Source organism: Homo sapiens, chromosome 7 (genome assembly GCF_000001405.40).
Source record: "Homo sapiens chromosome 7, GRCh38.p14 Primary Assembly".
Lineage (NCBI taxonomy): Eukaryota > Metazoa > Chordata > Mammalia > Primates > Hominidae > Homo > Homo sapiens.
Genome location: NC_000007.14, coordinates 2,424,183 through 2,449,257, shown reverse-complemented (window position 1 = coordinate 2,449,257; position 25,075 = coordinate 2,424,183). Strand labels below are relative to the sequence as shown.

Sequence of the window (25,075 nt, the reverse complement as noted above, 5' to 3'; positions counted from 1 at the left end):
AGAGCAAGGCCCTGTCTCAAAAAATGTATATTTAAAAAGAAGGCTGGGTGCAGTGGCTCATGCCTGTAGTTCCAGCACTTTGGGAGGCCAAGAAGGGTGGATCACCTGAGGTCAGGAGTTCGAGACCAGCCTGGCCAACATGGTGAAACCCTGACTCTACTAAAAATACAAAAATTTAGCCCGGCGTGGTGGCAGACGCCTGTAATCCCAGCTACTCGGGAGGCTGAGACAGGAGAATCACTTGAATCGGGAGGCAGAGGCTGCAATGAGCAGAGATCGTGCCACTGCACTCCAGCCTGGGCGACAGAGCGAGACTCCATCTCTAAATAAATAAATAAATAGAAATGAGCCTAGGAGTTCAAGGCTGCAGTGAGCTATGATCACACCACTGCACTCCAGCATGGGCAACAAGAGCGAAACTCTGAAAGAAAAAGAAAGGAAAGGAAAAGGGAAGGAAAAAGGAAGGACAAGGAAAGGGAAGGGAAGGGAAAGGGAAGGGAAGGGAAAGGGAGACATGACCAGTCTGCTAGGCAGAGCAGGTTTTGGCCTCCTCACCAGCTGAGATTCAGAATTGCTCGAAACCCCTGCAGAAGGTTACACCAGCTTTTCTCTGCCAGTCTTCACCCACATCGCAGACATTCTCCAAGAAGTGGGGGAAGAAGCTGAGGGTGGGTGGCCGGTGTCCCCTAAAGCCGCGGGGACAGAAGGCGGGCTGCTCTGCCCCCAGGTCTTATCGGCTTTCATAGGAGGAATGGGTTTTGTTCAGTCCCGGGTAGAGAAGACATTGCCATTTACTGAGATCCAGCTGCATATGACACAGAAGAGGACGTGGTGCTCTGTGAGGTCCTGAGCTTCGAGGTTTGGACAAGGACTGGTGGGTGCCATTAACAGGGGGCAGATTCGGACGGGTATAAGAATGAAGTTGGTTATCCAGCCTGGCAGGGGCTATGGGAGAGGGAGCCCGCCATTCAAGGGGTGCAAGGGGAGGCAGAGACAACCTGCCGGGAAGGCACCTGGCGAGAGCAGGGTCTCCCCAACTCCACACTTCCTGGTCCAGTTCCTTTATTGTTCAAATTTAAAATATGTTTGTGGCCAGGCACGGCGGCTCATGCCTGTAATCCTAGCATTTTGGAAGGCCGAGGAGGGCGGATCACTTGAGACCAGGAGTTCGAGACCAGCCCGACCCACATGGCGAAATCCTGTCTCTACTAAAAAGAGAAAAATTAGCCGGGCATGGTGGTGTGTGCCTATAGTCCCAGCTACTTGGGGAAGAAGCGCTTGAACCCAGGAGGTGGACGGTGCAGGGAGCTGAGAGCTGAGGTCGCACCACTGCACTCCTGCCTGGGCGACAGAGTGAGGCTCTGCCTCAACAACAACAAAAAAAGTGTTTATTCAGGCTGCTCTCCCTATGGAATAGCCATTCTTTATTTCTTAACTTTGTTAATAAACTTGTTTTCACTTGTTTAAAAAAAAAAAAGTGTTTGTGGCCGGGCGCAGTGGCTCATGCTTGTAATCCCAGCACTTTGGGAGGCCGAGGCGGGCGAATCACTTGAGGTCAGAAGTTCGAGACCAGCCTGGCCAACATGGTGAAACCTCATCTCTACTAAAAATACAAAAATTAGCTGGGCTTGGTGGCACATGCCTGTAATCCCAGCTACTCGGGAAGCTGAGGCATGAAAATCGCTTGAACCTGGGAGGTGGAGGTTGCAGTGAGCTAAGATTGTGCCACTGCACTCCAGCCTGGGCGACAGAGCAAGACTCTGTCTCAACAACAACAACAAAAAAGTGTTCATTTCAGAAGAGGGTGTCAGAGTGTGGGGACCACAGCAAGAAGTACCTTTGAGGGGGTATGGGAAATGACCTCTGACCCCCACGCTGACCCGAAATCCTCCATGAGGAAGACCACGAAGGCAAGCACAGAGGGTCACTGAGGGGGTCACCGAACAGAAGGTTTGCTGATGTAAGAGGAGGAGGCTTTGGAGGAAGCCAGTGGCCGGGATGGTGGGAGCCCACACTCAATTCCCTGAGAAAGTGCAGCACCAGCCTCAGTGGTCGCTGCTGTATGGGGTCTTCCTGCTTCCACCAGCTACCCCATGACCTTCAGGCTCTCTGCAGCCCAGGCCTGCCAGTGTGCCTCAGTGTGCCTTTCGTGCTGCTGGTCCCTGGGGGCCACTCTCCTCTGCTCTGCAGCTGGGCCCTGCACCCTCAGCACATCAGGGCTGGATCGCTGGGACCCAGGGGCTCCCCATGGGCCAGAAGCCTCCAGGACCCCAGAAAAAGTCTGTGTTTCTGGATCCTCTTGGCAGAATGACTCGAGGCTCTGTCTTACTGGACCCAGTGGCTGGGCAGTGTTTCAGGCCAGGCTGCGTGGGACGGATCCACCTGGAGGGGTTGCTGGAGCCAGAGAATCAGCGGTGGGCACTGGGACCGCTCCAATCTCCCACAGGGACGGCAGGATGTGAGGCCCGGGGCTGCAGCACTCACCACCCCACGGGGTTGATCTTGTACCAGAACTTTTTCTGTTCGATCATGTCCTTGCACTCTGTCCCTTGGTGGGGGGATTCCTGGGTTAAAATGTTAGAAATGACATCTCCAAGGTGCTCGGGACAACAGACAAAGCCCCACAGGTCCCAGCTGGAGCAGGGAGGTCCCTGGACATCTCATTCTCATGGCAGGTAAGGAACGGGAAGCCCCGACGTGGGCACAGCCAGGGGTCCCTGGACATAGCCGCAGCGCTGAGCCCTGAGGGACAGGTCGTGGCTCCGTCATCCACAGACATAGTTCAGGCACCGCCTTGTTGGCTGCCTGGGGTGGAACCACTTCCTGGGGCTGCAGTGGGTTAATGCCAGGCCACGCGCTGGGCTGGAGAGGTTTTTCCTCAGAGCCTGGGTTTTTCCTCTCTCCTCCCCTCTGCCAATCTGGCCAGCACTCCGAGAGTCGCACGAGGCTCCCGTCCCCCAGACTGCGGCTGGCGCTCAGCTATTTGTCCTTTTTTCCCAACTCTCCGCTTTTCCTTGTCAACGGCCTGAGGTCCAAGGCAGCCCCAAGGCCCAGCATGTGCTCTCCCTTCCAGCCCTGCTGCTGGCTCTTCTAGAGGCTGGGCTGGGACCCTGGAGACCTGGGGCTGGCTCGGACCCACCTGGGCTGTGCAGAGACGGATGGGGGCAAGGCCAGGGACAGATGCCACAACGGCCGGCAATGGTCCCACGAAGTGCCCTTGAGAGGTCTGGGCAAAGCCAGGGCTGGGTTCTCACTGATCCTGTGCCTCAGTGGGTCACCGCAGCCTGGGTCTCCCTTTCCCCATCTGGAAATGAGACTGACATCATGACAATTCCTTCTGGCTCAGCCCATGACTTCAAAGAGCCGTCCATTAAACCCTGGCGTGCCCATCAACAGGCCTTTTCTCACACGCGCTGTCCTTCCCTACAAAGTCCTGTTTCCAGCCCCAGGCCACTTTCTCCTTAAAGGGTGACACCTGTGGGCGGGCACCCAGGGAGCTTGGCATGCAGGCTGAGGCAGGGATGAAACGGGCCTGGTGTGGTGGCTCACACTTATAATCCTAGCACTTTGGAGGCCAACGTGGGCAGATCACGAGGTCAGGAGTTCGAGACCGGCCTGGCCAACATGGGAAAACCCCATCTCTACTAAAAATACAAAAAATTAGCTGGATGTGGTGGCACACACCTGTAATCCCAGCTACTCAGGAGGCTGAAGCATGAGAACCACTTGAACCCGGGAGGCATAGGTTGCAGTGAGCCTGGGCGACACAGTGAGATTCCGTCTCAAAAAGGAAAAAGAAAGAGGCCCGTAGGAACGGAGAAACTGAAGGAACCGTGGCCCTCTCACCAAGAGACAAGCACCCTTTTCTCGAATGCCCTGGGGGGCGGGGTCGGCTGGAGGAGAAATATCCCACAGGAGCTTTTTTCTGAAGATGCAAAACATCCACCCAGAGCCAGAGCCAGGCCTGAGACAGGGCGTGCCAAGTCCTCCACAACATCCCAGGACAAGGGTGGCCCTGCCCACCCTACGTCCACTCACCAGGACGCCCTGCCTGGCCCCCTTCCCAAAGCACCACTGGGAGGCTCTGGACTCCGGGAGAAGCTTCTGGAATGTCTGAGAACCAAACCAGTTTTCAATCAAACCTTTTAGAAGCCCAGACCACTTTCAAAGCCAGCCCCCTTTGAAACCCGACATGTTGAAATCCACTTTGCAAATCTGTGCCCCCAAATTTTGAAACCAAAATATTCTGGAAACCTACTGGAAGGAAGACACGTTGGAAGAGAACCAATTGAAATGGCAAAAACCATTTCATCCAGATTGTTTTTTAAGGCCCCGGTTATTTTGCAAACTGCTTTGAAAAAAAAGCAGTTTCATCAAAGCCAGAGTTCCCACTATAATTTTCCTGGGAAGAACCTCAGATGATTGAATGAGGCTCACAGAACTTCCTTGCTCTGTGAGGACACACAAACTGTGAAGGAGCCCAGGGGGAGTAGGGGATTTTTGCCTTGTAGCCTCCCGCAGACTCTCCACCCAGCCATCTCCCAATGCTGTCCTCCTTGAGTGCCTGTGGGCGGAAAAACCCATTCCAGAACCATGCCTCAGAATCTCTGTCTTGGCCTGGCCCACGGCTTCAGAGCCTAACAGTTTCTTTCTGGCCTCTGAATGGGCTCTTTCAGCCTTGGTGCTGGCTGAGGCCAGTGCCACAGAGTGAAGGACCCTGGTGAGCTCAGGAACAAGGCAGGCCAGGAGGGGACAGCCCAGAGGTTGGCACTTTGATTTTTGTTTGTTTTTTGAGACAGAGTCTCACTCTGTTGCCCAGGCTGGAGTGCAATGGCGCGATCTCAGCTCACTGCAACCTCTGCCTCCCAGGCTCAAGCGAATCTCATGCCTCAGCCTCCTCAGTAGCTGGGATTACAGGTGCCCACCACCACACCCAGCTAATTTTTGTATTTTTTTTTTTTTTTTTTTTTTTTTGAGACGGAGTCTCGCTCTGTCGCCCAGGCTGGAGTGCAGTGGCGGGATCTCGGCTCACTGCAAGCTCCGCCTCCCGGGTTCACGCCATTCTCCTGCCTCAGCCTCCCAAGTAGCTGGGACTACAGGCGCCCGCCACTACGCCCGGCTAATTTTTTGTATTTTTAGTAGAGACGGGGTTTCACCGTTTTAGCCGGGATGGTCTCGATCTCCTGACCTCGTGATCCGCCCGCCTCGGCCTCCCAAAGTGCTGGGATTACAGGCGTGAGCCACCGCGCCCGGCCTAATTTTTGTATTTTTAATAGAGACGGGGTTTCACCATGTTGGCCAGGCTGGTGTTGAACTTCCGACCTCAGGTGATCCACCCGCCTCGGCCTCCCAAAGTGCTGGGATTACAGCCATGAGCCACCGCACCTGGCCGGTGTCATTTTCTTTAAAAGGCACCATCCATGGTTTGAGAGAGAAGAGATGAGACCACCGGTGGACCCTCCGGAAACCACCCTGGCCTGGAGTTTGAGAACAGTGTCTCCCTCAGCATACCTGACTGTCCGCCAGAGACCCAACAGGAGGGAAGCAGCTCTGTCTTTGTTCCTGTGTTATGTGTGCATTCAAGGAGGCAAACTCGGCTGCAGAGTCCCGACTGTGTGCTACTTTCCCATGCCATCTGTAAGAATTTTAAGTATTTTTGGTAATAATAAGAATTGAAATTCAATTCCTCCAAAAATTAAAGATAAATTACCATATGACCCCACACTCCTACTCCTAGGCATATACTCCAGAGCCGCGGTCCCCAACCTTTTTGGCACCAGGGACTGGTTTCATGAGAGGCAATTTTTCCATGGATGGGGCAGAGGTATATGCTTTTGGGATGAAACTGTTTCACTTCAGGCTGAGCACGGTGGCTCACACCTGTAATCCCAACACTTTGGGAGGCCGAGGCGGGCAGATCACTTGAGGTCAAGAGTGAGACCAGCCTGGCCAACATGGTGAAATCCCGCCTCTACTAAAAATACAAAAATTAGCTGGGCATGGTGGCACACGCCTATAATTCCACCTACTCGGGAAGCTGAGGCACAAGAATGGCTTGAACCCAGAAGGCAGAGGTTGCAGTGAGCTGAGATTGCACCACTGCACTCCAGCCTGGGTGACAGCAAGACTCCACCTCAAAAAATAATAAATAAACAAATAAACAAAAAAATTAGCTGGCCATGGTGGCGGGCACCTGTAATCCCAGCTACTTGGGAGGCTGAGGCAGGAGAACCACTTGAACCCAGGAAGCAGGGGTTGCAGTGAGCCGAGATCATGCCACTGCACTCCAGCCTAGGCGAAAGAGCAAGACTCTGTCTGGAAAAAAAAAACAAAAACCTGTTCCACTTCAGATCATCAGGCATTAGATTGTTGCATGGAGAACCCTGGTATGCAGGGTTCACAGGAGGGTTCCCGCTCCTATGAGAATCTAATGCCGCCGCTGATCTGACGGGAGGCGGGGCTCCGGCGGGAATGCACGCTCACCTGCCGCTCACCTCCTGCTGTGCAGTCCAGTTCCTAAGGGGCCGCAGGCCAGTATTGGTCCATCACCAGGGGGTTGGGGATCCCTGCCCCAAAGAATTAAAAGCAGGGACTCGGCGGGGCGTGGTGTCTCATGCCTGTAATCCCAGCAGTTTGGGAGGCCGAGGTGGGTGGATCACGAGGTCAGGAGATCCAGAGCATCCTGGCTAACATGGTGAAACTCCGTCTCTACTAAAAATACAAAAAATTAGCCAGGCGTGGTGGTGGGCACCTGTAGTCCCAGCTACTCGGGAGGCTGAGGCAGGAGAATGGCCTGAACCTGGGAGGCGGAGCTTGCAGTGAGCTGAGATGGTGCCACCGCACTCCAGCCTGGGAGACAGAGCGAGACTCCGTCTCAAAAGAAAACAGCAGGGACTTGAACAGGTATCTGCACACCCGTGTTCACAGCAGCATTATTCACAAGAGCCGAGAGATGGAAGCAACCCAGGTGTCCATCCCTGGGTGAATGGATAAAATGTGGTCTGTCCATACAACGGGATATCGTTCAACCTTTAAAAGGAAGGTGATCCTGACTACAACATGAATGAACCTTGAAGACATTATACTACATGAAGAAGCCAGACACAAAAGGACAAATATTGTACAAATCCACTTACAGGAGGTCCCTAGTCAAACTCAGAGACAGGAAGTAGAATGGTTGGTGCCAGGGGCTTTGGGGGGGCGGCACAGTGGGGAATGGGGAGCTAGTGTTTAATAGGGACAGAGTTTCAGTTTTGTAAATGGAGAGAATTTTGGAGATGGATGGTGGTAACGGTGGCAGGCAAACTGAATGTGCTTAATGCCACTGAACTGTTCACTTAAAAATGGGGAAGAGGGCACATTTTATGTTGCATGTATCTTACCACAACTTTTAAAAGAACTGAAATTAACACCAGTTAAAACCATTACCACCACCACAATTCACCCAAGAAAATATACTTACAAGGTCAACCTTTTTCTTTTTTTTCTTATGAGAAACCCACTCTTCTAAACAGGATGGCCTTCTAATGATAAAATACAACACCTTTTTTTTTTTTTTTTTTTTTAAGACAAGATCTTGCTCTGTCACCCAGGCTGGAATGCAGTGGTGCAATCATGGCTCACAGCAGCCTCGACCTCCCAGACTCAAGCGATCCTCCCACCTCAGCCTCCCAAGTAGCTGGGACTACAGGTGCATACCACCATGCACGGCTTTTTCTTTTAGCTTTTGGAGAGACAAGTTTCCACTATGTTGCCCAGACTGGTCTCAAACTTCTGGGCTCAAGCAATACTCCTGCCTTGAGCTCCCAAAATGGTGGGATTACAGGCATAAGCTGCCCCCTGCAGCCATATTCTTATCATTACTATTTAAACGAGTGAAGAAAGCATTTTTAAGGTTCCTATTCCAAATTTGCCTAAAAGATGAACTCCAGCCCAGGGGCAGGAGACCTAGGCTGGAAGGCACTGCCGGTCCTAGTCCGCTCCTCCTGGGCCCCTGGGTCTGCGGTGAGCAGGTGGCAGCTCTGTTGTCTCCCTCCCCCATCTAGGCGGGCCTGGACGCCACCCCAATATCGCAGGCCACATAGGGCTCCACGCGCTCCTCCCTCTTGCTCTGCTCTTCCCTCGGGCCCTGTGGGAATTCTCGAGTCAAGCCCAGCCGCCCCTGCTGACCCAGGTCAAGGCTCTCACGGAGCATGGGGCCTGCACGCTTTGAACCTCTTGAAACATTATAAGCAGAACATTGCCCCACAGCCTGAGAGCCACAGCCGTGTCTCTCCTAAGCAAGGATGGTGCTTAGACAAGGAAAAAAGACAGGGCCTGGCTTTTTCATCCTAGGATTTCAAAGTGCATTTAGACACGCTAACTTATGACCACTCACGAGGTGGTAACTTCACACGGCCGGAGAAACGACAGCACAAGAAGTATCGTTGACTCCCGACCCCAAGATAAATCCAGAATGACACAGGATTGTGCAACCTCCAGATCTTTGTTCAAACAGCTTATTCTACCAGATAAACCTGAGCGGCGGCATTCTTCTTGGCAGTTTCTGGAAGTGTGAAGGTGAATTCCTAACTAAGATAGAAGGTGACTACAGGTATAAACCACCACCTCCCAAATCAGCCTGTAGACCCTCCACTGTGGGTACCTCGGGCTGGCCCTACAGGCCCACTCTGTCTTCTCTTCGGTGGCCCACCCCGCTCCTACTCACAACCGAGCCTCATCTGGGGTGCCCAGTTCCCATCATCCCAGGAAAGTCTGGGACCCTCTGCCTTTCAGAGTTCAGGTCAAACACTACCCCAAAGACCTGAGCTAGAATTTTCAAGTCCAAATCTCCAAACACACACACACACACATTCTCTTGCACACAAGTGCAGACTCACACTTGCACGCACACTTGCACATGCACTCGCACACCTGCACACACACACCCCGCCAGCTTCTAGCCAGTACTTCAAACCCCCAAACTATAAGTGCAAAAAACACCCAGATAGGCTGTGTTCGTTTATCACTGTCAAAGTCAACCAACAGATCCTCATCAGACAAGTGTGACGGGACCATTACAGTGAGCAAATGCTCTCCAGATGGCACCATGACAGCCATGGGAGTCATTTCAGGCATGCCTGCGGAATGGTGCTTGGCTCAGATCAGTAGCGCCCACGGACAGACACAGAGAAGCCTTCAAACCAGGTGTCCTTTCTTCATTAGCCTCCCCATCAGAGATGCACTGAGAAATTATTCCTGCTGGGCACAGCAGCCCACGCCTGTAATCCCAGCACTTTGGGAGGCTGAGGCAGAAGGAGCACTCGAGCTCAGGAGTTTGAGACCAGCCTGGGTGACAAAGCAAGACCCCGTATCTACCAAAAAAAAAAATTTTTTTTTGAGACGGAGTCTCGCTCTGTCGCCCAGGCTGGAGTGTAGTGGCGCCAATCTCCGCTCACTGCAAGCTCCGCCTCCCGGGTTCACGCCATTCTCCTGCCTCAGCCTCCCGAGTAGCTGGGACTACAGGCGCCCACCACCACGCCCGGCTAATTTTTTTGTATTTTAGTAGAGACGGGGTTTCACCATGTTATCCAGGATGGTCTTGATCTCCTGACCTCGTGATCCACCCACCTCGGCCTCCCAAAGTGCCGGGATTACAGGCATGAGCCACCGTACCCGGCCTCTACCAAAAATGTAAAAATTAGCCGGGCATGGTGGTGCATGCCTGTAGTCCCAGCTACTTGGGAGGCTGAGGTGGGAGGACCACTTGAGCCCAGGAGGTCGAGGCTGCAGTGAGCTATGATCACACCACTGCACTCCAGCCTGGATGACAGAAAGAAACTCTGTCAAAAAAAAAAAAGAACAAATTATTTCCAAAGGGGAAAAAATTACACATTCTCCAATTAATCTCTCTGCTGGTGAAATGGTATCCCAATAGGAGAGCCTCACCTATCCCTGGGTCCTGGCAGAGTAAGAACATGTTTCTAAAATCTCATGATGCTAAGAAACGGCTCATGTCCACGTGAACAGTGCCCTGCATCCTCAGGTCACGTGGCTTCTCTCTTCACTGATGGAACTCCTTCAACCCTAGTTTATCAAACACCAACATATTAATGCAGTTGTGTGCGAGTCTAGATCCTGTATGTGAAACGCTAGAAATCCAACCCAAATCAGCTGAAGCGAGTGCAAATTCCTGGAGGCGCACAGCTGAGAAGAGCAGGTGGAGCCGGCTTCAGGTGCTCACCCCGGCCCGGCCCCCGATCTGGTGGCCCTTCCTCCCTCAGCAGTTGGTCTCAGTTCCGGGACGGCTTTTCTAGGTGGCCACAGCACTGTAACGTCCATCCCCTCCACCTGCCAGAACCTCTTCCCAGAGGCTCACAGCTAAGAGCACTGGGTCTCAGGGGTCCAGGTCAGGAAATCAGCCCCGTCCCGTATCAACCATGGGACACAATGGCTCAGGTGCATCTGCCCTTGGGCCTGGGTAGGGAGGCCTGACTCAGCCCTCCTAGGGTAAGGGAGAGGGCGGAAGAGACGGGCTCTCTGACCAGGAGGAGGAATGCACACAGGCAAAACACAACAGATGTGTGCAAACAGTCACTCCAACACTCGGGAGAAACGTTTAAAGACTTTTAGGTTAATTACGTCCATGCAAGCCAAGCTTTCCCTTTTGATATTCTTAGGTTTGGTAGGATAGAAGAGGATGTGTGGCTTATAAATAAGTGAGCAAAAATTACCCCTGGATAATGGGCATGGGAGCGCCCCAGCCTGGTGATGGCATCCTTGGGGGCTGGGTGGTATCTGCAGCCTGTGTGATATTTGGGAGTCTGTTATTCTTCAGGGTGGGGCTGCCAATGAGAACAGAGCGTCCCCAGCTCTCTGCCAAGAGTCTCAGCCGCTCCCCTGGGCTGCCTCCATACAGGCGGGTGAGCACACATGGAGGGGAGCACCACCAGGAACCCAGGCTTCCTTTCAGAGACTCTAGGGAGAAGACTCTGGGGACGTTGGTGTGGCCCCAACATTCTGCCGCAGGGAAACACCTGTCACCATGCCGAACCAACACATTCAGGAAAGGTCCCCCCACCAAGGTACAACCAAGGCAGTTCACATCCAGGGACAGGTGCCCCGGGCAGCTCAGCTCAGGAGGGTCCCTCTGGGGAGACCTGGTCTGCACCAGGAAGCAGACCACGTGTTCACAAAATGCACACGCCACCCACTTTGCTTGGACCCACACAAGGACCATGTCCACAGCTTCCAGCTCAGATGGCTGCTCCCATCCGTGTCACTGTCCCTCACAGGGACGAGGGCTTAGCCACCCTGCGTTCACTCTCCACCCCTACGGCAGCCCTGCCAGCCTCTCACCTGAGTGCAGGAGACAGGGCGGGGAGAGAGAGGTGCGGCCATCCAGGCCCCGATGAATGCAGCTGGCCTCATCGGAGGGTTTGCAGGAACAAACTTGGAACACAACTCCTACACCCTCTGGAAGAAGGAAACAAGAAAAATATCCCGATGTGTGTGTGAGAGAGAGTGTGTGTGTGTGTGTGTGTGTGCGCGCGTGTGTGTGTGTGTTCTGATTCCTAAGTGGCAGAGCTAGGTTAAAGCCCCACCTTCACCAAACCACCCACCTCAGGGCACAGACGTGCTCAGACCTCACCGGGAAGATAAACTGAAATCCTAACCCTTGCCCTCCATCAAGACATAGGGCCAAAACCAAACCTGAAATTTTTCCAATAGTCCAAATAAATGGCAAAAGCACTACAGCAAACTCCACTAAATATCCACTGGGGGTTGTAAGTATCAGCGAATGAAGAAGCATGAGATGCTTTAAGAGGAAAGAGGGAGGGAGGCATCACCCACACAACCTGCAAGTCACACCTGTGTCAAATTCCTGGGGCAGATGGAAAATACACAGCATCAGACGCTGGGAGGCGAGTCCAGGAGCAGCCAGGCCGCCCAGCCCAAGCATTGCCCAACTGTAAACGGGCGAGGTGCCCTCCCACTGATTCGAGGCGCAGCCATCACACAAGAGACAGGGCTTTGTGACACCACCCCGCACCCAACCAAGTCATTCTCATGACTGTGCTCAAAGTGTGGACACAGCTGGAGGATGGGGGCCAACAGGGTAAAAGAGTTTTAAGTTTATGGTTAAATTTTCCAGTTGTACGATGCCAATTTTCATAAAATGTATAATTTGCTGTGTTTCAGTGGAAAAAGAAAAAACCAGAGCCAAAGGTCTCTACGCAGTGTGGTGCTGCGCATCAGGCAAACAGCGAAGAATCAAAGTGGGTTCTCCCCGCTCACACCTCCCTCTCTTCCCGGAGACGCCTCCCCTCGGCCCAGCAGGCCCTTTTCTGCCACTCCCATCCGGAGTCATCCCCACGGGCGGTGGCCCCGACCATGGCCCGGGAATCTGAGCAGGTGCGTGGATGTGGGTGGTGTCTTCTGCAGGAACCCCTCCACATCCCTGCAAACACCCCAGGTGCTCAGGAAAACCGAACCTCAGAGGAACCATACCAAGAACTGGGAATGCAGAAATGGAGGGGACGCGGGCCCCCCTCAGTGAGTGAACCGCCCAGTGGGTTCTGACATTCGTCTGAACATCCTATAAACAAACGCATCCCGGGGAGGTGCTCCAGCAAAGGCAGACACAAAGGGCCATGCCCAGAATACGGAAAACAAGCCCTCAGCAGATTCACTGACACCCTGTTCACAGCAGCATTCAATTCACATTCGCAGGAAGGCAGAAGCAACTCAGTGTCCACCAACTGATGAACAGATAAACAAACCATGCCTCTTCCACACAATGGGACATTATTCCGCCTCAGAAAGGAAGTTAGTTCTGACACCTGCCACGACACCGATGAACCTAGAGGACATTGCATGAGGTGAAGTACTTCAGTCCCAAAAGGACCAATACTGTGTGACTCCATTTCTGAGGGAGCTCGGGTAGTAGAAATCAGAGAGTGGAAGCTGCTGCCTTCTACCAATGGGGAGCGAGTGCTGAATGGGGACAGAGTTTCAGTTTGGGAAGATGAGAAAGCTCTGGAGATGATGGTGGTGGTGGCACGACAATACGAATGTGCTTAATGCCACACAACAGTGCACTTAACAATGGTTAAGATGGTACGTTTAAAATTAAACATTTTTATCATAATAAAAAACTTGGAGGGGCCAGGTGTGATGGCTCATGCCTGTAATCCCAGCACTTTGGGAGGGTGATGCAGGAGGGTCACTTGAGCCCAGGAGTTTGAGAGCAGCCTGGGCAACACAGTGAGACCTCATCTCTGCTGAAAATAAAAAACTAGCTGGGCAGGCTGGCGCTCACCTGTAACCCCAGCTACTTGGGAGTCTGAGATGGGAAGATCACTTGAGCCCAGGAGGTTGAAGCTGCAGTGAGCTGTGATTGCACCAGTGTATTCCAGCCCGGATGACAGAGCGAGACCCTGTCTCCAAAAACAAAACAAAACAAAAATAAAAGAAAGCGAAGCTTCAGAAAGGAAGGCAGGAGGTGTCTAACACAGGGGACACCTGAGGCTAGCAGGCACTGGGGGCCAAGACCCACACAAGCCCACCTGAGCCTGGGAAACACAGGGACACCACACACAGAGGACACCAGGGTATGTCCCAACTGAGCGTGGCCAGCAACCAGGGACTGGGCAGTGGTGACAAATACCACACACGAGGAAGACAGGTCAAGCAGGGTGCCCGACACCACGAAATGATTGCAACCATCTCTCCAACTACAGCTTAGAAGCAGAAATAGCAAAGGAGTTTCAGCCAGATGTTTCCAGAGCCTCCTCTGACACTTTTATCAAGACAGGGCCCATCAAACCTGAGGGTTCAAGGTCAGTCGTGTCCTTGAGGGTGAAGGCACTGGAGCTAAACCAACCAGAAAGCCACAGAGACAGTCACACGGAGCCTCTTCTTGGTGACACTGGGTACTGTCATCCAGCACGGTCTAGAGATAAACGCCAAACCACTCCACTCCTGCCAACTGTAAACCTCAACAGCCATAGTTTACTTTCTATTTAATCTATCTATCTACCTATCTTCTATCTGTCTATTTAGAAACAGAGTCTCACTTTGCTGCCCAGGCTGGAGTGCAGTGGCACGATCATAGGTCACTGCAGCCTTGAACTCCTGGGCTCCAGCGATCCTCCTGCCTCAGCCTCCCGAGTAGCTGGGATTACAGGTGTGCACCATCATGTCCGGCTGATTTTCTTATTTTTTGTAGACACAGGGTCTCGCTATGTGGTCCAAACTGATCTTGAACTCCTGGGCTCAAGTGATCCTCCCTCCTCAGCCTCCTGAGTAGCTGGGTTTACAGATGTGCACCACCACGTCCTTTTTATTTTTTGTAGAGATGAGGTCCTTGCTATGTTGCCCAAGCTGGTCTTGAACTCCTGGGCTCAAGTGATCTTCCCCCCTCAGCCTCCCAAAGTGCCAGGATTGCAGGCATGAGCCACCGTGCCCAGCCTTAATAGCCATAATGTATTAATATTTATTTATTTATTTTGAGATGGAATCTCACTCTGTCACCCAGGCTAGAGTGCAATGTCGCGATCTCAGCTCACTGCAGCCTCTGCCTCCTGGGTTCAAGCAATCTTTCCATCTCAGAACTCCTGAGTAGCTGGGACTACAGGTGCACACCACCACACCCGACTCATTTTTTTTTTTTTTTTTTTTTTTTTTTTTTTTTTTTTAGTAGAGACAGGGTTTCACCATGTTGGCCAGGTCTCAAATTCCTGACCTCAAGCGATCCTTCTGTCTGGGCCTCCCAAAGTTCTGGGATTACCTGCCTGAGTCACCCGCCCGGCCTTAACAGCCATAATTTAAACTAGACAGTATGGGAACAGCTGGAGTTAGAAATCCTAGAAATCCTGCTTCTGTAACTGACCGGTTTACCTCTGACTTGACTTCAAACAGGAAGCCCTGAAGATTGACCTTTTCAAGTACAACACTTAAACAAAGAACTTTCCCTCTGGAAGGATTTGTCGGCTACCCTTCCAAAAACAGACAGGTGCGGCCTGACTTCAAGTGCAGGCCCCGCCCTCCTCCGGTGAGTGGCCCTAGCCCTGGAGGCAGCTCCATCAGCCTCAGCATCCCCTCCCGGCGCCCGCACGCTCAGAAAAACCACAGGAGCGGGCGAGCGGGCGAGCGGGCGGGCGGGTGGGCGGGCGGAGGGGAGAGGGGATATTTTACTCCAGCATTCCCTTCCACATTTCGTATTAAATACCTGAAATATATTAATCTTAAAAAACAATATCGATACAGTACTCAATGGATAGAGGCAGTGGAGTGAACAAGAAGCCCAGATTGCAAAATCGTAGGTCATAAAAAAACTGGAGTGCGCGTGCGTCAGGTTCCAGGCACGCGAGAAAAAGCAACGCGAAAGCTTTCAGTCTCGGAGGAGGTTTTCGGGCTTGGGGTAGCCGAAGAGAACAAAGTCGGCCTCGTAGAGTTTATACAGCTGCTGCCTCCAGGCCAGGGGGATCTTGGCGAACCAGTCCTCCTCCCAGCTGCTGGCGGTCCTGTTCCGGTAGCTCGGGGGGAAGCGGAGCTGCCGGTCCACCTGGAGTAGCTGCAGCAGCTGCGCGGCGTCCTCGTCCAGAGTCTCCAGCTTCCCCACGAAGTCGTAGTCGATCTGGCACGGGTGGCAGAGGCGGTACACCTGCCGCCAGTGCTCGTTGAAGGGCGCCAGCTTCTCCGTGTGCGGGTCCAGCAGGTACTGGATGAAGTTGGCGAAGGACACCTTGAGGCCAGCGCGGAAGGCCTCGCGCGCCGAGGCGGGCAGGCTGGTGTGGTTGGCGTACAGCCGCAGCATGGGCACGGCGAACTTGCGGTAGAACTCCTCGTTCTCCAGCTCGAACTTGCTGCGGAAGGCGGAGATCAGGCGCACGAAGGGGTCGCGCACGAAGAGGAACTTGGTGTACTTCTTGAGCTTGACCTTCATGAGGTGGCGGGAGAGCTTCCCGTAGCGGCGCCAGAACTTGTTGAAGGTCAGGTGCGCGCTGGCGTTGTGCACGTGCTCGCGCGGGATGCGCAGCGGGTCGCGGTAGGGCGCACCGCGGTGCAGCAGGCTTCCGCTCAGCACGATCATCACGCGCTTCCAGTTGGTGCAGGCCACCTTGGGCACGTAGCAGTAGATGGCCCCGTGCCGGTCGTCCACGATCAGGTGGCTCAGCTCCGAGTTGGGGATGTCGTCGAATGCGCGCTCCTTGGTGGGGAAGGCCAGGCTGGAGTTGGCGCAGAAGCCCCGCAGCACGCTCCTCCGCTCCGCCTGCTGCCGGCCCTGGTCTGGGCTGCGCCGGGCGTCGCGCGGGGACCAGTCGTAGCCTCTCACGCTCTCCTCCATGCTCCCCGGCGCAGGCGGCTGCTCCGTCTCCTTTCTGGGAAGGTCGCTCTGCTTCACGCCAGCACTGAGAAACTTGTCCAGAAACTCGTCGACATCGGAGTCGGCCGTGAGCTCCCTGTCCCTGTCCGGCCCGGGCGTGGGCAGCGGCGGCCCCGTGTGCGGCCTAGAGAAGGACGTGTGCAAGTAGAAGTGCGCGGCGCCTGCGCTGTCCCAGTACACGATGATCAGCAGGATCATGAACACCGACCCCAGCACCAGCCACAGCCGGAACAGCCGGGCCTTGGTCATCCTGCCCCGGGCGGGCTGGGCCCTCTCCGGGCCTCTCACTTCAGCTTCCTGCAGAGCCGGGGCATCCTGCTGGGAACCTGCAGATGCAATGACACACTAGTTAATGACTGAGGTGCACTGGGGCTCTGACTCCTGCCTTCTGATCAGTGGGGGACTGGGGTCCGGAGGAGCAGGAGCGCTGGGCCACGTGATATCAGCTCGCCCTCCAGAGGGGCTGGAGGCTGAGGTCAGCAGTGCAGGGAGTCTACACATCCATGTGCCCGAGCACCAGTAATGACCCTGGACGCCAAGGCTCGCGTGCTTCCCTGGCTGGCAGTACTCCACATGTGCTGACACTCGCCACTGGCGGGAAAGTAATATTGCCCACAACTCCCAAGAAGAGGACGCCTCCCAGGGAGTGGAGACCAGCTCCAGGTGTGAGCCCTCCTGGACTCTGCCCTCTGCAACTCTTCCCAAGGCTGATTTTTTTTTTTTTTTTTTTTTTTTTTTTTTTTTTTTGATATGGAGTCTCGCTCTGTCGCCCAGGCTGGAGTGCAGTGGCCCGATCTTGGCTCACTGCAAGCTGCACCTCCCAGGTTCACGCCATTCTCCTGCCAAGGCTGATTTTAATCTTCGAATCTATATCCTTTTCCTATAATAAACCATAGCCACAAGAATAACTGTGATCAGTGAGCTCTGTAATCTTTCTAGCAAATCATCAAACCCCACAGTGGTCTCAGGGACGCCTGCATTTGCTATTGGTGTCATAAGTAAGAGGGGTCTTGGGAACCATTCCTTAACTTCACAGTGACCCAACAACAGGAAAATTGTTTTGGCAACACCCACTCTACTTAAGTCGAATGCCAATGGAAAAACTGCACCCTACAGCTTCATCAGGGCCACCCTGAGAGCTGACCTTCCACACCACCCTGGCTTCCCAAAAGTAAGTGGCACATTGCTATTCCCCTGCCAGGCACCAGGGGGTGTTGGTGGGGCTGAGCTGGGAGCTGATACCCCTTCCTCTGCCCATGGAAGTAGAGGTGCTTCCTCTGTCTGTCCCACCAGGGTACTGTCAGTGTGGTCCAGCAGGGAGCTAAGCCTTGACCCCACCTGGCATCCACAAGGTGGAAGGAGATGGTGTGAGGCAGGAGAGTCCACACTCTGACTCCCTCTCCCCCAGCCAGGTCAGGGCCCAGTAGGAGCTGAACTCCAACTCTACTCCACCCCTATCTGGCACCCATGACATGGCGTGAGGTGGTTAGAGGTGGGGCAAGTTGGCCCTCTACTTTCTCACCTCCTCTCTCCCGGGAATGGAAAACATTAATCATGCAAATATTAATGAAAAGAAAGCAGGAGTGGCTATCTTAATATCAGATGAAGCAAATTTCAGAAGGAAGGAAACTACTAGAGACAAAAGGACATTACATAATGACAAACAGTTCAATCCCCAGGAAGACATAACAATCCTAAACATGTATGCACCAAACAACAGAGCCTCAAAATACAAAAAGCAAAAATCGATAGAGCTAAAGGATAAACAGACAAATCCACAATTATGGCTGGAGACTTCAACACTTCACTCTTGATAACTGACAAAACTATGAGGCAGAAAATCAGCAAGGATACAGAAGAACTCAACACCAGCAACCAACAGGACATAACCGACATATGCAGAACACTCACCTAACAAGAGAACACAGTTTTTTCTAAGTGTCCACAAAACATTCACCATGGTAGACCAAACCTCAGCTAATTTAAAAGAATTGAAATCTTGACAGGGCACGGTGGCTCACATCTGTAATCCCATCACTTCAGGTGGCCAAGGCGGGTGGATCATTTGAGATCAGGAGTTGGAGACCAGCCTGGCCAACATGGTGAAACCCTGTCTCTACTGAAATTACAAAATTTAGGCTGGGTGTGGTGGCTCATGCCTGTAATCCCAGCACTTTGGGAGGCCGAGGCAGGTGGATCACTTGAGATCAGGAGTTGGAGACCCGCCTGGCCAACATGGTGAAACTGTCTCTACTGAAAATACAAAATTTAGGCTGGGCATGGTGGCTTATGCCTGTAATCCCAGCACTTTGGGAGGCCAAGGCAGGTGGATCACCTGAGGTCAGGAGTTCAAGACCCGCCTGGCCAACATGGTGAAACCCCGTCTCTACTAAAAAAATGCAAAAATTAGCTGGGCATGGTGGCAGGCGCCTGTAATCCCAGCTACTCAGGAGACTGAGGCAGGAGAATCGCTTGAACCCAGGAGGCAGAGGTTGCAAGGAGCCAAGATTGTGCCACTGCACTCCAACCTGGGTGACTGAGCAAGACTCCATCTCAAAAAAATAAATAAAAATGAATAAATAAATAAAAATAAAAGAATTGAAATATTTTATATAAAGGAATAAAACTAGAAATCAATAACAGAAAAGACAACAGGAAAATCCACAAACACAAATTCCTGGAAAATAAATGACACATTTCTAAATAATAGCAAAGGAAAAAGTTAAAGTACACAGAATAGAATGAGAATGAAAATACAACATATGTTACAGTCACTGTGGTGCCAAGAGCATTAGAAAGCAGAAAAGGCCGGGCACGGTGGCTCTCTCCTATAATCCTAGCACTTTGGGAAGCCGAGGCGAGAGGGTCTCTTGAGCCCTAGAGTCCAAGACCAGCCTAGACAACATGGCAAAACCCCATCCCTATAAAAAATGCAAAAATCTGCCGTGCATGGTGGCATGCACCTGTAGTCCTAGCTACTCTGGAGGCTGAGGCAGGAGGATCGCTTGAGCCCAGGAGGTCAAGGCTGCAGTAAGCCGAGATCGTGCCACTGCCCTCCAGCCTTGGTCTTAGCAAGACCAAGACCCTGTCTCAAAAGAAAAACAAAAACAAAAAACCAACCAAACAAATGAAAAAAACCTACAAATTATCTTTATCAGGAACAAGACAAGGAATGAAATTATAGATCCTGCAGCCATTGAAAGGATAAGGAACTATTACAAACAATTTTACGCCCACAAATTTAGCAACCTAGATGAAACAGACCAATTCCTTGACAACCACAAACTACCAAAATGAATAATCCTATACTAATTAAAGAAACTAAATTTGTAACGTAAAAGCTCCTTAAAAAGAAATCTCTGGGCCCAGATGGTTTCACTGAAGAATTCTATCAAACATTCAAAGAATAACAACATCAATTTTATACAATCTCTTACAGAAAGGAGAAGAGAGGACATGTCCAACTCATCATCCTAATACCCAAACCAGTGAAAATAAGTACAAAAAAAAAGAGGCCGGGCGTCGTGGCTCACGCTTGTAATCCTAGCACTTTGGTAGGCTGAGGCAGGAGGAACACCTGAGGTCAAGGAGTTCAAGACCAGCCTGGCCAACATGGCGAAACCCTGTCTTGTAGGGAGACCCCCTGAAACTATTGCTATGGAATAAAAGATGAAATGCTCCTGATTACTGTAAATACAAAGTTGCATTCAGGATTGTGTAAAGACAATGCCAGGTTGGACTGTCAGAATGAGCCAACAGCACGTGATATGCTTCCCCCTGCAGAGAGCCTATGAACGGACATGCAGTCAGGGAGCTTTCACATCACCAAGATTCCTATCCCAGAAAAGCAGATGTTCATAGCTCTGGGAATGGAATGCGACCCTTGTGGAGAGCCTACAAACGGACGCATGGGGGGCGCCTGTCCATATGGATAAGATAGTGCTATAAACGCCCTCATCTTGCCACGGCTCTTCTAGGCCTCTTTAGGGTTAAGGCATACTCCCTTCTGAGAATTTCTGGTCTAACTGGCTGTCTAGCTTCACGTCCTGTTTCTATGGATTGTTTGTAACCAGCTTTTGCTGCAACTATTACTGCTGATTAATATCTTGCTAATCATAGGTTATGGAAAGCCTGTGTTTCTGTTTTAAGGCTGTTAGAAATTACTGATGCACATGCTATATTGTAAATTCTTATCTCTGTATACTGTACTTCTGCATACAGATGTTATGTTAAAGAATTACTTCATCCCCATGTGACCATCTCACCTCATAATCAAATGACCCTAAATCCCTCACTAACCTACCCCCGCCCTCACTAAACTTAATAATAAATGCTGGTATATCCAGTGCATTGGCGGCATCGCAGGACCAGAAGGCGGTCACCCCCCGGACCCAGCTTTCACTGTCTTGTGTGTGTCTATTATTTCTCGACCTGCTGATCCGCCTGGGAACAAATAAAAGAGCCCCGTTGCATTGTGGGCTTCTGGCCAGATCCCACAATACCGTCTCTACTAAAAAATACAAAAAATTAGCTGGGCATGGTGGTGGACGCCTGTAATCCCAGATACTCAGGAGGCTGAGGCAGGAAAATCACTTGAACCCGAGAGGCAGAGCTTGCAGTGAGCCGAGATTGTGCCACTGCACTCCAGCCTGGGTGATAGAGCAAGACTCTGTCTCAAAAAAAAAAAAAAAGAGAGAGAGAAAGCTACAGGCCAATATCACTTATGAACTTGGATGCAAAAATGCTCAAAATATTAATAAACCAAATCCAGCAGTGTATAGAAAGAATCACAGCATAGTGACTCACGCCTGTAACCCCAGCACTTTGGGAGGCCGAGGTGGGTGGATCACGAGGTCAGGAGATCCAAACACGGTGAAACCCCGTCTCTACTAAAAATACAAAAAATTAGCTGGCCATGGTGACGGGTGCCTGTAGTCCCAGCTACTCGGGAGGCTGAGGCAGGAGAATCGCTTGAATCTGGGAGGTGGCGGTTGCAGTGAGCCGAGATCGCACCACTGCACTCCAGCCTGGGTGACAGAGCAAGACTCCATCTCAAAAAACAAACAAACAAAAAGGAGTCACGGCATGACCAAGTAGGGTATGCAAGAACGGCTCAATGTTCAAAAATCAACCATGTAATCTATCATATTAACAAGCTAAAAAATCAACTCCTACAGGAAGGAACAACAAAACCCATATCCATTCATTATAAACACTCTCAGCAAACTTAGCAAAGAGGATATCCTCAACTTATAGGGCATCTACAAACACCCTACAGCTGTACCATTTTTCTATCATCTCTGTAGGGGGGGGTGGCAGATGGAAGGCCCAAACTGTGTTGAACTTTTCATCTTCAAACAAATGTGTAAACTTTTTTTTTTTTTTTTCAAGACAGAGCCTTGCTCTGTCACCTAAGCTGGAGTGCAGTGGCACAATCACAGCTCACTGCAGCCTTGACCTCCTAGGCTCAAGTGATCCTCCCGTCTCAGCCTTCCAAGTAGCTGGGACTGCAGATACACACCACTGGGCCGGGCTAATTTTTAAAAATTTTTTATAGAGTTGTGGTCTCACCATGTTAACCCGGCTGGTCTTGAACTCCTGGGCTCTAGCAAGCTGGCCACCTCGGCCTCGCAAAGTGCTATGAATTTCTTAAACTGAGTATTTTTACATTTGTATGTCTCTCTCTCTCTCTTTTTTCTTTTGTGAGACAGGGTCTCGCTGTGTCACCCAGGCCGGAGTGCAGTGGCATGATCTTGGCTCACTGCAACCTCCGCCTCCCGGGTTCAAGTGATTCTCATGCCTCAGCCTGGCCACCTCGGCCTTGCAAAGTGCTACAAATTTCTTAAACTGAGTACTTTTTCATTTATATGTCTCTCTCTCTCTCTCTTTTTCTTTTGTGAGACAGGGTCTCGCTGTGTCACCCAGGCTGGAGTGCAGTGGCATGATCTTGGCTCACTGCAACCTCCGCCTCCCAGGTTCAAGTGATTCTCATGCCTCAGCCTCCCAGGCAGCTAGGATTACAGGTGCCCACCCTGACACCCGGCTAATTTTTGTATTTTTAGTAGGGATGGAGCTCCACCATGTTGGCCAGGCTGGTCTTGAACTCCTGACCTCAAGTGATCCACCTTCCTCGGCCTCCAAAGTGCTGGGATTACAGGCATAAGCCACCACACCCGGACTGTATGTCTCTCCTGTCACTCTTGTATGTTATATTTTTTTAATATTAGCAACAATCTGAGTGCTTTAAAAAAAAAAACCTACAGCTAACCTCATAATTAAGGGTGCAAGAGTGAGTACCTTACCACCAAGATCATGAACAAGGCAAGGACATCTGTCTACCCGCCCCTGCCCCGTCATCAGTAGACACCTACTCATCCCCAGCTCAGCGAAGTCTTTCCCAGTTGGGTCAAATCCCAGACTATGCACTCTCCATAGGTCCCATCAGCAACTGTGTGCTTATTTGGGGTGTGTATGTTTAATTACTCCCGCTCTCACTCACATAGCTGGGGAGGGTGGGCTCCGTCTGGTTGTGCTCACCACGTGCATGCACATGGTAGGGTGCAGTCAATACCGAGTGAATCTCAGGCTCAGAGGCCCCCATCACATCAGCCTGGCTCTGAAGCCCCTTGTGACCAAGCCCCTGAGGTTCCATGCCAGGTCCTATCCTGGGGCAACCCTGGGCCACCTTCCTGCCTTGGCTTCTTGCTAAGGACGTTGGTTCCTTTACAGAAATGAGTCCCAGCCCCCTGAATATTCGTCCCCACAGCCAGCTGCCCTCTTCTCACTGGCAGTCCCTTCGCACGATGCCCATCTACCTACTCCCATCCCGGACTATGCAGGTCCCCCAAAGAGGTCCCCTGCTGATCTAGCGAGCCCCGTCGTCCCCAGCCTGTCTCTCCCTCCAGCTTACTGCCTTCTGCCAGGCCCTTCCCCCAGAGCGTCTAACCCCTGACCCCTGGCACCTGTGCTGCCACCACCAGAGTGCAGACTCCCCAGAATCTGCATTCAGAAAGATGACACCCTGGAAAGACGAGAAGTAAAGCTGAAAATAAATAAGAGATGGAAACGTATAGTGGGATAAGTGGTAAGTTCTCCACCCAAAAAAATAAAGATCAAATAGACAGCATGGGAGAAGACCTGCAAGTTGGATACAAGAGGAAAAGGGACAAGCTTGACAAAAGACAAAAAAAAAAAAAAGCAAATGCAGTGCTATTTTGCATTTGAACACACACACATCTGCAGATGTGGGCCCCCTGCACCTGTCCCGCGTGTGGGCCTTACAGGTGACTCACCACCTGTGCTCACAACAGTCCTGTGACCTCAGCCACATCCAGAAACAATGGTGGCCACAGGGCATGGATCCCCAGAGGCACTCATCTCCGTCAGAGGCCAGATCCTATCTCTTTCTTTCTAGATGTTTGAGCAGGGCCATCTCATAGGCCCTTTTGGGGGTGGAGGGTAAAAGGTGAATATGAAATATATCCATTTTCAGTGGCTATGACCTGGTCTGGGGTTTCTGGAAGAGCCCAACAGTCTGGACCCCTCTCTCCTGGCACTCACCCTTGTCTGCACTGTGGTTGTGTCCACACCTGTCTTGACCGACATGCTGACTAAGCGCGGTCCTCACTGGGCCGGGGTTTGTTTTTTTACGTTTTTTTTTTGTTTGTTGTTTTTTTTTTTTTTTTGAGACGGAGTCTTGCTCTGTCACCAGGCTGGAGTGCAGTGGTGCAATCTCGGCTCACTGCAATCTCTGCCTCCCGGGTTCATGCGATTTTCTGCCTCAGCCTCCCGAGTAGCTGGGACTACAGGCGCCCGCCACCACACCTGGCTAATTTTTGTATTTTTAGTAGAGATGGAGTTTCACTCTGTTGGCCAGGCTGGTCTTGAACTCCTGACCTCAAGTGATCTGCCCACCTCGGCCTCCCAAAGTGCTGGGATTACAGGCGTGAGCCACCACGCCCGGCCTGGAGCGGGGTCTTGCCTCCTCCTCCTGCTCCTCCACGGGGGCACCCTGATTACAACAGGCTCTAGCAGGCTCTCAGTGTCTCTTTTCCCACAGCATCTTGTGGAAGGGGAGCTCTGTGGGAGCTGGGGCTGTTCAGGACGAGGAGGATTTCTGTTGGTGCCTCAAACTCCTGAAGGGCTGTCACAGAGGAGGGGGAGCAGGCTTGACCTCTGCAGCTTCAGAAGACAACACTCGGACAGCACAGTCAGCCCAGTGAATGAACAGATACGCTAATGAGTTAAGGGGCCAAAAACTGTAGTAAGATCTCTGTTCCCGAGGGCATCCAAGCACAAACAGGCGGATTGCCCGGGAGTCTTCCGGGGGAGAGTCTCGCACTGGGAGACCCTCCTGGACTTCTTCCGGCATAAGCTTCTCGGAGTCTATCTGCCTCTCACGCACTGGACTAGACTCTAAAAGCCACTGCCTGACCCTTCACAGATTCTCATTAAATGAACCTCAAAGTTCATGAGGCTGAAATGTGGCTGTACTCTGCATCCACCTCTGCAACTTCTGTGGATTCTTAATTCATGTTCTTTCTTTATATTCTTTAGAGTCAGGGTCTCACCCTGTTGCCCAGACTAGAGTAAAGTGGTGTGATCATGGCTCACTGCAGCCTCAACTTCCTGGGTTGTCCCAAAAAGCTGGGGCCATGGGTGCACACCACCATACCTGGCTCATTTTTAAAATTATTCTGTAGAGAC

General features: G+C 51.9%; 1 protein-coding gene across 16 annotated transcripts in view, besides 4 other annotated features; it reads right to left on the bottom strand.

Annotated features, from left to right (window-relative positions):
* Positions 612 to 795: a silencer, noted in NCBI's record as "fragment chr7:2488098-2488281 (GRCh37/hg19 assembly coordinates)". NCBI's record gives its function as "represses an EF-1alpha promoter that drives an FKBP-Casp9 reporter gene in an ReSE screen in phorbol 12-myristate 13-acetate-treated (for megakaryocytic differentiation) K562 erythroleukemia cells {active_cell/tissue: K562(+PMA)}" and the evidence as "EXISTENCE:reporter gene assay evidence [ECO:0000049][PMID:32094911]".
* The window catches only part of CHST12 (carbohydrate sulfotransferase 12), a 45,037-nt gene continuing 20,735 nt past the window's right edge, over positions 774 to 25,075 (bottom strand). For 3 of the 16 annotated variants that reach the window (NM_018641.5, NM_001243795.2, NM_001243794.2), the window contains exon 2: positions 774 to 16,695. In NM_018641.5, coding sequence (NP_061111.1) covers positions 15,374 to 16,618 — 1,245 coding nt within the window. In that variant the 5' untranslated portion in view covers positions 16,619 to 16,695 and the 3' untranslated portion in view covers positions 774 to 15,373. Of the gene's footprint in view, positions 16,696 to 25,075 lie in introns of those variants that run through there. The other 13 variants (XM_011515444.3, XM_047420571.1, XM_011515443.3 and 10 more) reach the window with 11 other exon arrangements.
* Positions 6,132 to 6,632: an enhancer, noted in NCBI's record as "H3K4me1 hESC enhancer chr7:2482261-2482761 (GRCh37/hg19 assembly coordinates)". NCBI's record gives its function as "activates a minimal SCP1, AML or CMV promoter by ChIP-STARR-seq in primed H9 embryonic stem cells {active_cell/tissue: H9 hESC(primed)}" and the evidence as "EXISTENCE:reporter gene assay evidence [ECO:0000049][PMID:30033119]".
* Positions 15,339 to 16,230: an enhancer, noted in NCBI's record as "H3K27ac-H3K4me1 hESC enhancer chr7:2472663-2473554 (GRCh37/hg19 assembly coordinates)". NCBI's record gives its function as "activates a minimal SCP1, AML or CMV promoter by ChIP-STARR-seq in naive H9 embryonic stem cells {active_cell/tissue: H9 hESC(naive)}" and the evidence as "EXISTENCE:reporter gene assay evidence [ECO:0000049][PMID:30033119]".
* Positions 16,231 to 17,123: an enhancer, noted in NCBI's record as "H3K27ac-H3K4me1 hESC enhancer chr7:2471770-2472662 (GRCh37/hg19 assembly coordinates)". NCBI's record gives its function as "activates a minimal SCP1, AML or CMV promoter by ChIP-STARR-seq in naive H9 embryonic stem cells {active_cell/tissue: H9 hESC(naive)}" and the evidence as "EXISTENCE:reporter gene assay evidence [ECO:0000049][PMID:30033119]".